Here is a 15,833-nt window from a genome sequence, read left to right as displayed (position 1 = left end):
ACTTTGAATTTATACTTATATGTCTTTCAGTTACTCTTATGTATGAGTCTGGGTACAATCAAAAGACAAAATCCATGCTGCAGTTAAAGCAGGAAGTTTAATATAAAGTATAATTAATCTAAAATGAAAGGAAAATATGAAAATGTTAACAGTAATCCAATAGTGTTGTAGGACTGAGAGAGATTACCCAAGAAAGGACAAAGCTGGAATGGAAGCCCCCTCTGAGACTTTTCTGGAGAAAGTATGGTTGCAGCTCGCTGGATGGTGGAGAGTTTCTGTGGGTTGCTAATGCCAGAGCAGATTCAGAATCACCAGACAGGTAGGAAGCAAACATTCAGAGGACAGGCGCTTTGCGCTTTCGTGCTGCTTTGTCACTTCACTCATATGTATTAAATTAGTTTAGTCAACTAAAATAATCATGTAATAAACTTTGTGAAGACAGATTTATTCCTTCATCCTTTCCTATTTTCCCCAGCACTTTGCAAGGATCACAGTGTGTGTACAGCAGTCAGAAGTGTTTTTAAAACTTAGCACATGTGGTGTTCTTATTGCGAGGGCTACGGAATATTAGTCACAAGACCCTAGCATGCAGGAGGAGTTACACTACATCACAGAATACTATGCAGACATAAAAAGAAGAACAGGATTATGTCCTCTGCAGGAACATGAAAGGAGCTGGAGGCCATTATCCTTAGCAAACTAATGCAGGAACAGAAAACCAAATACCACATGTACGTGGAAGCTAAATGATGAGGGCACATGGACACATGGCAGGGGACGTGAAACACTGGGGTCTACTTGAGGGTGGAGGGTGGGAGGAGGGAGAGGATCAGGAAAGATAACTAGTGGGTACTAGGCTTAATACCTGGATGATGAAATAATCTATACAACAAGCCCCCGTGACACAAGTATACCTATGTGACAAACCTGCACATGTACCCCTGAAATTGTAAGTTTAAAGAAAGATGAAAGCACAGTAGCTGAAGTCAAGAAATAAATCTCCTTCCTGTTGGCACTGTCTCACTCATACCCGCTACTTAAAAACAGCTTAACATTGTGCCAGCTGGCAAAGAAACAATATTTAAAGGGCCCAGATTCATTTTCACAGAACAGGGAATGAAGAGTTAGTTTGGAGCTGAGAGGCAATAAAGTAAAAAATGGCATCCTCCTGTGTGTGTAAAAGTTCTTGTTTGACATTCTGATGTGAGAATGGCCTTCAGGGGTACCTCTAATTCCCCCTTGCCTACCTACATTGTGTCATGTTATGAAAGTTCCGAGCCAGAGGTCACATCGTGATTTATATCTGTCCTATAGTACCTGGTACCCAAAATATGTAGATGGTGGAGGAAAAATATGACTGGAACCCTGAAGACCTAGAAACTAGTCAAATTCATTTTTCTATTTATTAGTTTTATTAAATTATAATCTTAGGATTAACTTCTGGTAATGTATCTTTTTTGAGGGAAAGGAATTACAAATTAAAAATTCTGAAAAGAATTCCTCTGCTGACTGCAACTGGAAAGGAAAGGATTATTAGGATGTCAGTTGGTCAATTATAAAACAGGCTTAATAATTTTTCAGAATTTTCCCATTTTACAATATTTTATATCTTTAAAAAATAAGTAATAAATGTGATATTTTATTCTAAAAATATTTAAACAAATGCCTTCAAACATTTATAATGTTTGAATTCTTTTCATTAAAGTGAGCTCCAAGAATTATAAAAATGTCAGGCCTCCAAAATCTTGGAGATAATATGATAATAAATATGATAATAAAATAATGAGGGTGGGTATTTTGACAAAAACAAGGCATTAAACTCTTGCAGAGGGAATTTTTGAAAGATCTTTTTTACAAATTTTGAGTAATGAAATATAGGATAGGATCACTTATAGAAACCCCAAGATTATTGCTAGCAAAACCAAAATGACTCATGTCCATAAAATGCCTTCTACTGAGAATGCACGAATTTTTTCTTTATCAGTTTTTTGCACTTTTTGTGCTGCTTTGTCATTTCACTCATATGTATTAAATTAGTTTAATCAACTTAAATAATCATATAATCAACTTTGTGAGACAGATTTTTTCCCTTATCCTTTCCTATTTTCCCCAGCACTTTGCAAAGATCATAAGTAACTGCTTAATTAATGAGTGAATGAATGAATTAATTAATTAATATCTGTCCTTATTAGTGAGTTAAACATACAATTTCTAGTTTCCAGTCTTTCTAGGTTCTAGTCTTTCACCTAAACAAAGGTATGTGATTATATATCCCTAGAGATCCTATTCAATTCAAGCTGAGATCATTGCTTTCTTTTATGATTCAGAATGGGCTATAGCAGATCAGAATATTAAACTACTTTTTGTATTTATTTCATTGTTCCCAAAGCTCTTCTTTAAGATTATACTGCCACAAGTTAATAGTTTCTTTTTTACATTTTTATAAGACAAAATAATGAGCTAGAGAAAACACATAATAGATTCAAAATCTTATCATTGATTATAAATGTAGGTATCTAAAGTGTAACCTTAAAACATGGAGTTTTAAATATACACTTATCTAATAAACTGAATTACACAGAGGCCCTGCATTCTGTTATGTTTATTCATGTATATTCTGTTAAAGAATTACTATATTCTTGAGATTGGGATTTGAGGGAATCTTTCAAAATCCTTTTCATAATGGACTCTCCTTCCTCCGTCCCTCCAACCTTGTAACATGTTTACACAGGAATAATTTCGGACAACTTCATTCCCAGGATTGCAATTAGAAATGTTATTCATTAGGTCTAGAGAGATTATCTTCCTTATAAACATACAAATGTAAATTTTTTCAACAATCTCTCCAAAGCATTTCGGAATCTGTGCTCCACAGTTTATCTTGTTAGTTTCTTGAATACAAGTGAAAGATAAGCTTAATCTGCTTAAAACAGGAGTTATTATTGTGCTTTGGTGAAATGTCAAAACTCTCTCTTTGCATTTTTTTTGTCTTACATGACACAAATCAAGTATATAAAAAAGAATAGCACAATTCCATTGACATTCATGGGTGGTGATTATTTTAGATGATTTTATGTGCCAAACGCAAAGCAGAACATGAAGCAGAACAAGATGACTTAAAGATCATTGCCTTCTCAAAGGTCATCAAGCAGGAGCGCTGGAGAGACTGAAAGCTGCCAATTTAAGCAGGTCTACTTTGATGCTTGAGTGCTATGGAATTTAATTTTTGAATAATTCAGTGGTGCTTTTCTACTTGGTTGTATTAAACCACTTAGTGCCTGAAATTTAAGTAGTTCAGGGTTGAACAGCTTAAAGGAAAATTAAAACTTGCTTGCTGAGTTATTTTTGTTAAAGATCAGAGAGGGCAACGACATCATGTTCATAATAACAGTGACAACAACAATAATAGCTAATAACTCCTGACACTGTTCTAAATGCTAACACATTCAATTAACTATATATTCTCAGCTAAACAATGAGAGGAGGAAATTCATCTAGAAATAGATCTGTAATTATCTCACTATCACTCATATCACAAATATAATCTTTAGTGTTTAGCATTGAAGATGAACTAAACCAAAAGTCCAATGCACTCTCATTAAAAATTAATGGTCTGATTGAAATACTTTTATTATACATGGTTACATAAAAGAGACAGGAGAATGTATAGAGCTGTGTAATACTTTTGACATTTACATGAATGATCTGACTTGCTCTTCCATAATTGTTTGAGATTCTTTTATGCTTGTATAGTGGAAAGTAAATAGAACTAAATATTACGTTTTGGCTGTCCCATTAACATCTTTTACTTTAATTCTAAGTAGAAATCGTTATTTAATTAATAGATACACGTTTTTCAGATTTATTTTTTAATATGGAGGATATATCTTTTATTATTTTTTATCACTATTATAACCTTTTACTTTGAAATAACTTCAGACATAAAAAGAAGTTCCCCAAATGCTGTAAATAGTTCTCACATACCGTTCGCCAGGCTTTTCTCAATGTTAACATTTTAAATAACTGCAGTACAATTATGAAGACCAGGAAATTAATTTGATAAATACTATTAACTAATCTGCAGATCTTATTAAATTTCACCAATTGTCTCACCGATATCTTTTTACTGGTCTAGTAACCCACATTACATTTATTTGTCTTGCCTCCTTAGTGACCTTCAGTCTGGGACAGTTCTTCCATCTTTCTTTGTCTTTGATGACTTGATTCTTTGAAAGCTATTTTACAACTTTAGTTTTGTCTGATTTTTCTCCTGGATAAAATTTATATTTAGCACTTTTGGCAAGAATACCACAAAGGTGATGTGTCTTTCTCAGTACAGTATGTCAGAAAATATGGAATGTTCATGTGTCTTATTACTGGTAACGTTAACTTTAATTACTTAGCTAAGATGATGCTTGATAGACATTTCAACTATAAAGGTACTATTTTTTGGCTTTACAAAAAAACTTCAAGTCTATGTAATTATCCTATTTCTTATCATCCAATTTCGCATTTAATTTTAGCATTCATTGATGATTCTTGCTTGCGATAATTATTACTGTGCTGTCTGCCAAATGGTGACTTTCTATGGTCATCATGCATTCTACATTTATTAATTAGCACTTTACAGTGGGAAAGAGTTATACTTTGTCCTTCTTTCTTTCTTTGTGAGTTTTATTAATATTGTTCAATGACATATATTTTATTTTCTGGGTTATTGTCCAATATTATCATTATATAGTTGCTAAAATTTACCCAGAAATAGCCCTTGGGAGCTCCTTCAAATTGGTTCCAGTGTTTTTGATAAGATCCTATTTCTTAATTTTATCACTGTTTAACTTTCTGGTACTACAAGATATTCTGGGATCATCTTATTTTTTTCTGTGCTTCAGTCCTGGAATCAGCCATTTTTCTAAGCCATGGTATTTTTTATTGGAAAATGATAATTGGAAACAAAATCTGAGTGCTGGGGTGTTAATTGCTAATTTGTTATCACTGTTTCTAGATCCTCCTAGTGGACAGAGATAGAAAAAATAGAGAATTAAGTACACATATCTATTTATCTATCTATATCAATATCTATCTAACGATCTATCTACACATATTTAAAACCAGTGAGTTTGGACTGATGGTACAAAAGTTGATTCCAATATCGGAGATTAACTCTGTTGTTTTACTTATAACATTTTTCTCTGGCAATGAAAATCTGGCTCTTAGTATCCACAATATATTTATTTGCTCAATCCGATAATACAACACATATAAAATAGTTTCCAAATTCCTAACCCATAACTCTGTAAAAAGTAAGTTTCTAAATTAAAATATATAATCTGTGCAGAGTTTGTGTGTGTGTGTGTGTGCATGCGCATGCCTGTAATTTTGTCTCTTTAGCTTTACAGCAAACAGACAAAACACTGTTTTCCAAAATTGCTCAGATTTGGTTTTTCCCCATCACAATAATTTTGATTATATTATTCATTTATAATACACTTAACATTCCTTTATTATTCTTTGGATCCCATTTTTGGTTTTTCTATATCCTGATTAATTTTTATAATGTATCTTTGGGTCTATGAGACATTACCATGATTTGAACAGTTACAATATAAAATGTGATACTTAGGGAAGTGTTCCTCTCCCTCATCCTGTCTACCTATTCAAATTTCCCCATTCTTTTCACCCAGCTTACATCTACCACAATAGGTAACCAGTCTAATTAGTTTGTTTTATCATTCCTGTGTTTATGTTCGCCTAAATTACCAGACACATGTATATTTTATTATATGTCTTTATTATAGGAATTGCCTCACACTATAGCTGTTCTTTTGTACTTTTCTCTTTTCACTTAAAATATATTGTAGAATTGACTTAGTATCTGTATGGATATGTTTCTTTCTATTATTTGGAGCTGCAAAGTTCTCTTCTGGGTGGATCTATCATTCAACCTCTGTTTTATATGTGGATATTTAGGTTTTTCCAATACTTCAAAATTATAAATAATGTTGGGATGAATATTCTTGTTCTTATTAATTTGTATTGCTGGAGGTGATCATCTCAGGATAAATTCCTAGGAATGAAACTCCCGGGTCAAAAGGTAAGTAATCTGTAGTTTTGTTACATATTGCCAACATGTACTCCAGAAGGTTATACTTGTTTGCATTCCCCTCAGCAATATAAACATTTTTATACTACAAAGTTTCAGTTTCTCTACTGACAGTCACACCAACAAAATGTACTATCATGTATATTTTAATTTTCACTAAGATGATAACTAAGAATGCTTTATCAGTGTTAATTTACATGCAGCTATTATGAGTAAATTTGAACATGTACATATTTTAAGGGAACTTTTTTACTTTTTAAAAAATTATCTGGCCATTGTTTTTTTAAAATTAATTAATTAATTTATTATTATTATACTTTAAGTTTTAGGGTACATGTGCACAATGTGCAGGTTAGTTACATATGTATACATGTGCCATGCTGGTGTGCTGCACCCACTAACTCGTCATCTAGCATTAGGTATATCTCCCAGTGCTATCCCTCCCCCCTCCCCCCAACCCACAACAGTCCCCAGAGTGTGATGTTCCCCTTCCTGTGTCCATGTGTTCTCATTGTTCAATTCCCACCTATGAGTGAGAATATGAGGTATTTGGTTTTTTGTTCTTGCGACAGTTTACTGAGACTGATGAGTTCCAATTTCATCCATGTCCCTACAAAGGATATGAACTCATCATTTTTTATGGCTGCATAGTATTCCATGGTGTATATATGCCACATTTTCTTAATCCAGTCTATCATTGTTGGACATTTGGGTTGGTTCCAAGTCTTTGCTATTGTGAATAATGCCGCAATAAACATACGTGTGCATGTGTCTTTATAGCAGCATGATTTATAGTCCTTTGGGTATATACCCAGTAATGGGATGGCTGGGTCAAATGGTATTTCTAGTTCTAGATCCCTGAGGAATCACCACATTGACTTCCACAAGGGTTGAACTAGTTTACAGTCCCACCAACAGTGTAAAAGTGTTCCTATTTCTCCACATCCTCTCCAGTACCTGTTGTTTCCTGACTTTTTAATGATTGCCATTCTAACTGGTGTGAGATGGTATCTCATTGTGGTTTCGATTTGCATTTCTCTGATGGCCAGTGATGATGAGCATTTTTTCATGTGTTTTTTGGCTGCATAAATGTCTTCTTTTGAGAAGTGTCTGTTCATGTCCTTCGCTCACTTTTTGATGGGGTTGTTTGTTTTTTCTTGTAAATTTGTTTGAGTTCATTGTAGATTCTGGATATTAGTCCTTTGTCCAATGAGTAGGTTGCGAAAATTTTCTCCCATTTTGTAGGTTACCTGTTCACTCTGATGGTAGTTTCTTTTGCTGTGCAGAAGCTCTTTAGTTTAATTAGATCCCATTTGTCAATTTTGGCTTTTGGTGTTTTAGACATGAAGTCCTTGCCCATGCCTATGTCCTGAATAGTATTGCCTAGGTTTTCTTCTAGGGTTTTTATGGTTTTAGGTCTAACGTTTAAGTCTTTAATCCATCTTGAATTGATTTTTGTATAAGGTTTAAGGAAGGGATCCAGCTTCAGCTTTCTACATATGGCTAGCCAGTTTTCCCAGCACCATTTATTAAATAGGGAATCCTTTCCCCATTGCTTGTTTTTCTCAGGTTTGTCAAAGATCAGATAGTTGTAGATACGCGGCATTATTTCTGAGGGCTCTGTTCTGTTCCATTGATCTATATCTCTGTTTTGGTACCAGTACCATGCTGTTTTGGTTACTGTAGCCTTGTAGTATAGTTTGAAGTCAGGTAGTGTGATGCCTCCAGCTTTGTTCTTTTGGCTTAGGATTGACTTGGCGATGCGGGCTCTTTTTTGGTTCCATATGAACTTTAAAGTATTTTTTTCCAATTCTGTGAAGAAAGGCATTGGTAGCTTGATGGGGATGCCATTGAATCTGTAAATTACCTTGGGCAGTATGGCCATTTTCATGATATTGGTTCTTCCTACCCATGAGCATGGAATATTCTTCCATTTGTTTGTATCCTCTTTGATTTCCTTGAGCAGTGGTTTGTAGTTCTCCTTGAAGAGGTCCTTCACATCCCTTGTAAGTTGGATTCCTAGGTATTTTATTCTCTTTGAAGCAATTGTGAATGGGAGTTCACTCATGATTTGGCTCTCTGTTTATCTTTTGTTGGTGTATAAGAATGCTTGTGAATTTTGTACATTGATTTTGTATCCTGAGACTTTGCTGAAGTTGCTTATCAGCTTAAGGAGATTTTGGGCTGAGACAGTGGGTTTTTCTAGATATACAATGATGTCGTCTGCAAACAGGGACAATTTGACTTCCTCTTTTCCTAATTGAATACCCTTTATTTCCTTCTCCTGCCTAATTGCCCTGGCCAGAACTTCCAACACTATGTTGAATAGGAGTGGTGAGAGAGGGCATCCCTGTCTTGTGCCAGTTTTCAAAGGGAATGCTTCCAGTTTTTGCCCATTCAGTATGATATTGGCTGTGGGTTTGTCATAGATAGCTCTTATTATTTTGAAATACGTCCCATGAATACCTTATTTATTGAGAGTTTTTAGCATGAAGTGTTGTTGAATTTTGTCAAAGGCCTTTTCTGCATCTATTGAGATAATCATGTGGTTTTTGTCTTTGGTTCTGTTTATATGCTGGATTACATTTATTGATTTGCGTATATTGAACCAGCCTTGCGTCCCAGGGATGAAGCCCACTTGATCATGGTGGATAAGCTTTTTGATGTGCTGCTGGATTCGTTTTGCCAGTATTTTATTGAGGATTTTTGCATCAATGTTCATCAAGGATATTGGTCTAAAATTCTCTTTTTTGGTTGTGTCTCTGCCCGGCTTTGGTATCAGGATGATGCTGGCCTCATAAAATGAGTTAGGGAGGATTCCCTCTTTTTCTATTGATTGGAATAGTTTCAGAAGGAATGGTACCAGTTCCTCCTTGTACCTCTGGTAGAATTCAGCTGTGAATCCATCTCGTCCTGGACTCTTTTTGGTTGGTAAGCTATTGATTATTGCCACAATTTCAGCTCCTGTTATTGGTCTATTCAGAGAGTCAACTTCTTCCTGGTTTAGTCTTGGGAGGGTGTATGTGTCCAGGAATTTATCCATTTCTTCTAGACTTTCTAGTTTATTTTTGTAGAGTTGTTTGTAGTATTCTCTGATGGTAGTTTGTATTTCTGTGGGATTGGTGGTGATATCCCCTTTATCATTTTTTATTGCGTCTATTTGATTCTTCTCTCTTTTTTTCTTTATTATTCTTGCTAGTGGTCTATCAATTTTGTTGATCCTTTCAAAAAACCAGCTCCTGGATTCATTAATTTTTTGAAGGGTTTTTTGTGTCTCTATTTCCTTCAGTTCTGCTCTGATTTTAGTTATTTCTTGCCTTCTGCTAGCTTTTAAATGTGTTTGCTCTTGCTTTTCTAGTTCTTTTAATTGTGATGTTAAGGTGTCAATTTTGGATCTTTCCTGCTTTCTCTTGTGGGCATGTAGTGCTATAAATTTCCCTCTACACACTGCTTTGAATGCATCCCAGAGATTCTGGTATGTTGTGTCTTTGTTCTCGTTGGTTTCAAAGAACATCTTTATTTCTGCCTTCATTTTGTTATGTACCCAGTAGTCATTCAGGAGCAGGTTGTTCAGTTTCCATGTAGTTGAGCGGTTTTGAGTGAGATTCTTAATCCTGAGTTCTAGTTTGATTGCACTGTGGTCTGAGAGACAGTTTGTTATAATTTCTGTATTTTTACATTTGCTGAGGAGAGCTTTACTTCCAAGTATGTGGTCAATTTTGGAATAGGTGTGGTGTGGTGCTGAAAAAAATGCATATTGTGTTGATTTGGAGTGGAGAGTTCTGTAGATGTCTATTAGGTCTGCTTGGTGCAGAGCTGAGTTCAATTCCTGGGTATCTGGGTATCCTTGTTGACTTTCTGTCTCGTTGATCTGTTTAATGTTGAAAGTGGGGTGTTAAAGTCTCCCATTATTAATGTGTGGCAGTCTAAGTCTCTTTGTAGGTCACTCAGGACTTGCTTTATGAATCTGGGTGCTCCTGTATTGGGTGCATATAAATTTAGGATAGTTAGCTCTTCTTGTTGAATTGATCCCTTTACCATTAAGTAATGGCCTTCTTTGTCTCTTTTGATCTTTGTTGGTTTAAAGTCTGTTTTATCAGAGACTAGGATTGCAACCCCTGCCTTTTCTTGTTTTCCATTTGCTTGGTAGATCTTCCTCCATCCTTTTATTTTGAGCCTATGTGTGTCTCTGCACGTGAGATGGGTTTCCTGAATACAGCACACTGATGGGTCTTGACTCTATCCAATTTGCCAGTCTGTGTCTTTTAATTGGAGCATTTAGTCCATTTACATTTAAAGTTAATATTGTTATGTGTGAATTTGATCCTGTCATTATGATGTTAGCTGGTTATTTTGCTCATTAGTTGACGCAGTTTCTTCCTAGTCTCGATGGTCTTTACATTTTGGCATGATTTTGCAGTGGCTGGTACCGGTTGTTCCTTTCCATGTTTAGTGCTTCCTTCAGGAGCTCTTTTAGGGCAGGCCTGGTGGTGACAAAATCTGTCAGCATTTGCTTGTCTGTAGAGTATTTTATTTCTCCTTCACTTATGAAGCTTAGTTTGGCTGGATATGAAATTCTGGGTTGAAAATTCTTTTCTTTAAGAATGTTGAATATTGGCGCCCACTCTCTTTTGGCTTGTAGAGTTTCTGCCGAAAGATCCGCTGTTAGTCTGATGGGCTTCCCTTTGAGGGTAACCCGACCTTTCTCTCTGGCTGCCCTTAACACTTTTTCCTTCATTTCAACTTTGGTGAATCTGACAATTATGTGTCTTGGAGTTGCTCTTCTCAAGGAGTATCTTTGTGATGTTCTCTGTATTTCCTGAATCTGAACGTTGGCCTGCCTTGCTAGATTGGGGAAGTTCTCCTGGATAATATCCTGCAGAGTGTTTTCCAACTTGGTTGCATTCTCCCTGTCACTTTCAGGTTCACCAATCAGACGTAGATTTGGTCTTTTCACATAGTCCCATATTTCTTGGAGTCTTTGCTGATTTCTTTTTATTCTTTTTTCTCTAAACTTCCCTTCTCGCTTCATTTCATTCATTTCATCTTCCATCACTGATACCCTTTCTTCCAGTTCATCGCACCGGCTCCTGAGGCTTCTGAATTCTTCACATAGTTCTTGAGCCTTGGTTTTCAGCTCCATCCGCTCCTTTAAGCTCTTCTCTGTATTGGTTATTCTAGTTATACATTCTTCTAAATTTTTTTCAAAGTTTTCAACTTCTTTGCCTGTGGTTTGAATGTCCTCCCGCAGCTCGGAGTAATTTGATCATCTGAAGCCTTCTTCTCTCAGCTCGTCAAAGTCATTCTCGGTCCAGCTTTGTTTCGTTGCTGGTGAGGAACTGCGTTCCTTTGGAGGAGGAGAGGTGCTCTGCTTTTTAGAGTTTCCAGTTTTTCTGCTCTGTTTTTTCCCCATCTTTGTGGTTGTATCTACTTTTGGTCTTTGATGATGGTGATGTACAGATGGGTTTTTGGTGTGGATGTCCTTTCTGTTTGTTAGTTTTCCTTCTAACAGACAGGACCCTCAGCTGCAGGTCTGTTGGAGTACTGGGCCCTGTGAGGTGTCAGTGTGCCCTGCTGGGGGTTGCCTCCCAGTTAGGCTGCTCGGGGGTCAGGGGTCAGGAACCCACTTGAGGAGGCAGTCTGCCCGTTCTCAGATCTCCAGCTGCGTGCTGGGAGAACCACTGCTCTCTTCGAAGCTGTCAGACAGGGACATTTAAGTCTGCAGAGGTTACTGCTGTCTTTTTGTTTGTCTGTGCCCTGCCCCCAGAGGTGGAGCCTACAGAGGCAGGCAGGCCTCCTTGAGCTGTGGTGGGCTCCACCCAGTTCGGGCTTTCAGGCTGCTTTGTTTACCTAAGCAAGCCTGGGCAATGGCGGGCGCCCCTCCCCCAGCCTTGCTGCCACCTTGCAGTTTGATCTCAGACTGCTGTGGTAGCAATCAGCGAGACTCCGTGGGCGTAGGACCTTCCAAGTCAGGTGCGGGATGTAATCTACTGGTGCGCGGTTTTTTAAGCCCATCGGAAAAGCGCAGTATTCGGGTGGGAGTGACCCGATTTTCCAGGTGCCGTCTGTCACCCCTTTCTTTGACTAGGGAAGGGAACTCCCTGACCCCTTGTGCTTCCCGAGTGAGGCAATGCCTCGCCCTGCTTGGGCTCGCTCACGGTGCGCGCACCCGCTGACCTGCACCCAGTGTCTGGCACTCCCTAGTGAGATGAACCCGGTACCTCAGATGGAAATGCAGAAATCACCCGTCTTGTCTTCTGCGTGGCTCACGCTGGGAGCTGTAGACGGAGCTGTTCCTATTCGGCCATCTTGGCTCCTCCCCCCCGGCCATTGTTTTATTTGTATTCTTCTATTGGATATTTGGTCTTTGGTCTCTTAATTAAGACTGCTTTATATATTAGGGATGTAAGCCATTTGTCTGTAATACATACTGCAAATATTCTTTCTCAGTGTTTGTTGTCTTTTAATCATATCCTTTTTGGCTATGCAATTTACATATATTGATATATTTGGATATATATACACACACATATTAAACATTTCTTTCAGTAGATTTTAATTTTGGAGTCACAGTGAGACAGCTTGGAATTCACTCATGTTTCTTTTTACTATTTCTATTGTTTGTTTTTTTTTTACATTTAAAGCACTGATCCTTTGGCATTTATTCTAGTGTAAGGTATAAGATATGCATTTAATTTTATCTCTTTTGTCTTTAAATGACTACCCGATAGTTCCAGCACCATTTATTATAAATTCCACCACTGCCTTAATGATGAAACTCCACCTTTATCATACACTAAATTTCCAAAAGTACTTGGGTATATTTCTGGGCTTTCTATCCCATCCACTGGCCTTTTGCCTATTCCCATGCTAGAATGGTTTTAGCCTGTGAAGGCTAGTCCCCAATTACAGATTTTCTATTTGTGTTTTCTATGCTACTTTTGTATGTTTGTTTATTCACCAGAAACTTTGATAATCACCTTCTATAATTCGGTAAGCTTTAGAGGGTCTTATAGGGATTGCATTTCATTTAGAAATTCACTTAAGGAGGATTAACATTTTTATGTCATAGAGTCATCCTATCCGAGAAAGGGGATGTGTTTCCATTTGTTCAGGTCTACTTCATTGTCTTTCAAGAGTATTTTATAGTTTTCCTCATAAAGCTTTTGTGCATCTGTTATTAAATTTATTCCTAAGTGTTTAATCTTCTTGTTTGCTGTTGTATACAGAAATGTTTCTACTATTATTTCTTGTACATATGAGGACTTTTTATTTGTGCATGTGAATTTTATAGCAGGCTACCTTATTGAATTGTTTTATTGCTTCAGTTAGCTTTAACATTGGTTCTGTACAGCTTTTTGAGTATATCATCATATTATATCATTTAAAATAATATTTTTAATTCTATATATTTTTGTTTTTAACAATTCTTATGCTAATTGAATTCTTTTGTTCAATTGTATGGGCAGTTGCTACTAGTACAATATTGAATGTTAATGAAGTCAGTGAAAATCTTTGCCTAATTCTGAATTTTCATCAAAAGGACTTTAGTGGTTCTGATTAAGCATGACACTGGCTTTTCAGATAAACATTGTGTGTGTGTGTCTATATATATACATATTTAATGATTAATCATATTAATTATCTATCAATTCTTATATTCCTGAGAGTTTTAAACCATGATTGCATGTGACATTTTGGCAAAGACATTTTCCACATTGAGCAAGATAATTATATGGTTTTTAAATTAGATTTATTAATATAGTGTTTGGTATTAAAGGATTTCCTAATATTGAATCAACCTAGTATTCCTGGAGTAAGTCTCATTGGGTCATGGTTTATTATTTTATTAAGGTAGAGTTGGATTCTGCTTTCAAATATTTTATTCATTATCTTTGAATTTATATCCATAAATGAAATTTCAGGTTTTGCCCAAGATAGAGTCACAAAGACTGATTTTGGCATTTCTCTTGAGAAAACAAAACAGAACAAACAAACAAAAAATTGCCCCAAATATATGAAACAATGGTTTTCAAGATATCAGACATCAGCTGATGAAAAATATTGGCTTTTGAGAGACACAGAACATATGAAGGGAGCCCTATTTCTCCCAAATTTACTGCTGAGAGAACAGCCCCAGGTCATATAGGCATCAAGGGCAAAGCCAGATGAAACCTAAGGCTTGGGCTGTGGCTTCTCCCCTCTTCCCAGTCAGCTCCACTAGGGAAACTTCTCAAGGTTCTCCCAACCTCCCCATGATTGCTTACTGGGGTTTCTGGAAGAAAAACCTGCAACGGGGTGAAAAATCCTGTATTTCTCCTGTATTTCTGTGACCTTCCAAATCTTCATATTCTCACATTATCCCACAATTTGCCTTTAAAATTTCTGATAAATATTTAGTTCAATCTTCTTAGAGTCTTACATGGCTTCTGTCCCTGTTAAGCAGGTGTCAGGTCCTGTGTCTCTCTGGTGGTGCCTGTTTCTGTCCAGATTTTGGGTTACTTACTGGCCAAAAAACCTTATTGTTCTGATAGGCTGAAAACAAATTGTTAATGCACATTGTTCAACATTTATTCTTATAAGAGTGAGAGTGACACTTTCTCCAGCTCTGCGTATCTAACATTAAACTGGAAGTCCAAAGCAAAGCAGGTTTAACAGGAAATTTATGAATATAGCATTCAGTGAATTTGATGCCATAAACTGTAATAAATATATTCAAAGTTTTGCTATGTGATCTAGTAATGCTAACTAAAATGCATTTTATTCTATATAATGATGTTTCCATGACAGTCGTTCCCTGCCCCTCTCCCCATAAAGCTATTTTTTTTGTTTATGAATCATCTCCCTACCAATGCCATCATTTTTGTGAAAGAATGCACTATTGATGGGAACACAAATTCAGTGACCATTTCCACCATCATTAGATTTCTCCTGGCTTGCCTCTGACATTTGCAATGCCTTTCTCTCAAATTAACTCTAATCAGATCACTGGAATTCCCCATTCTAATAGTTTTCCTTCTATTCATCCTTGAAACCATATAATCTGAGTACTTCCCAAATCTCACTTTTCCAGAAGGTCGTCATGCCAACTGAAGATAATTAATAACACATTTTAATGACTTTATACCAGCTGAGGCATATTTTTCAATGGCAAAACACCAGAGGTGATCTCATTTATGACTACTTACGCCTCTGTGACCTGGATTATTCTCCAAGTTTAATCTTCAGTTCATGTTAAAACTCTATTACTTAATAATTTTGTTATATTGTACAACTCTCTTCAACCCTTTCCACCTCTGTAAACCTGTTTCTTTATCTAGTTATCTCAAAATCATTGTTGCGGTTTTAAACTTTACAATTCTTATTTGAAATCTAAAAATAGTAAAAACTAGCATATTACATGTGAAATTTTATTTCATACTGGGGAATTCAATGCTTGAACTGTTTTAGTAGATAATTATAAAATGCCAGAAATGTTAAATACAAAGTTAGCTATCAAATGCTACCTAGACATAATCTTATGCAAATATGCATTAACATCTCATTTCAGGTAAGTTTCTGATCCTCCTCAGTGTGTTCTGATCCTTCCTTCCTGGAAGAAGCTTCCTGCAGTCTGAGACTCACAAAGGATAAATTGTTACAATAAGTAGATCACATGTAGAAACAGGTTATTATGAAAGGAAGTGGTACCATAGAGGAAACCTGGAACATAAAAAAGGATGGAGAGAGC

General features: G+C 36.3%; 1 annotated feature.

Moving 5' to 3' along the window:
* Positions 12,027–12,527: an enhancer, noted in NCBI's record as "H3K4me1 hESC enhancer chr4:168778932-168779432 (GRCh37/hg19 assembly coordinates)". NCBI's record gives its function as "activates a minimal SCP1, AML or CMV promoter by ChIP-STARR-seq in naive H9 embryonic stem cells {active_cell/tissue: H9 hESC(naive)}" and the evidence as "EXISTENCE:reporter gene assay evidence [ECO:0000049][PMID:30033119]".

This window comes from Homo sapiens, chromosome 4 (genome assembly GCF_000001405.40).
Source record: "Homo sapiens chromosome 4, GRCh38.p14 Primary Assembly".
In the NCBI taxonomy this organism is placed as follows: Eukaryota; Metazoa; Chordata; class Mammalia; order Primates; family Hominidae; genus Homo; species Homo sapiens.
Note: the sequence above shows the minus strand (reverse complement) of the source record. Positions and strands in the feature narration are given on the sequence as shown.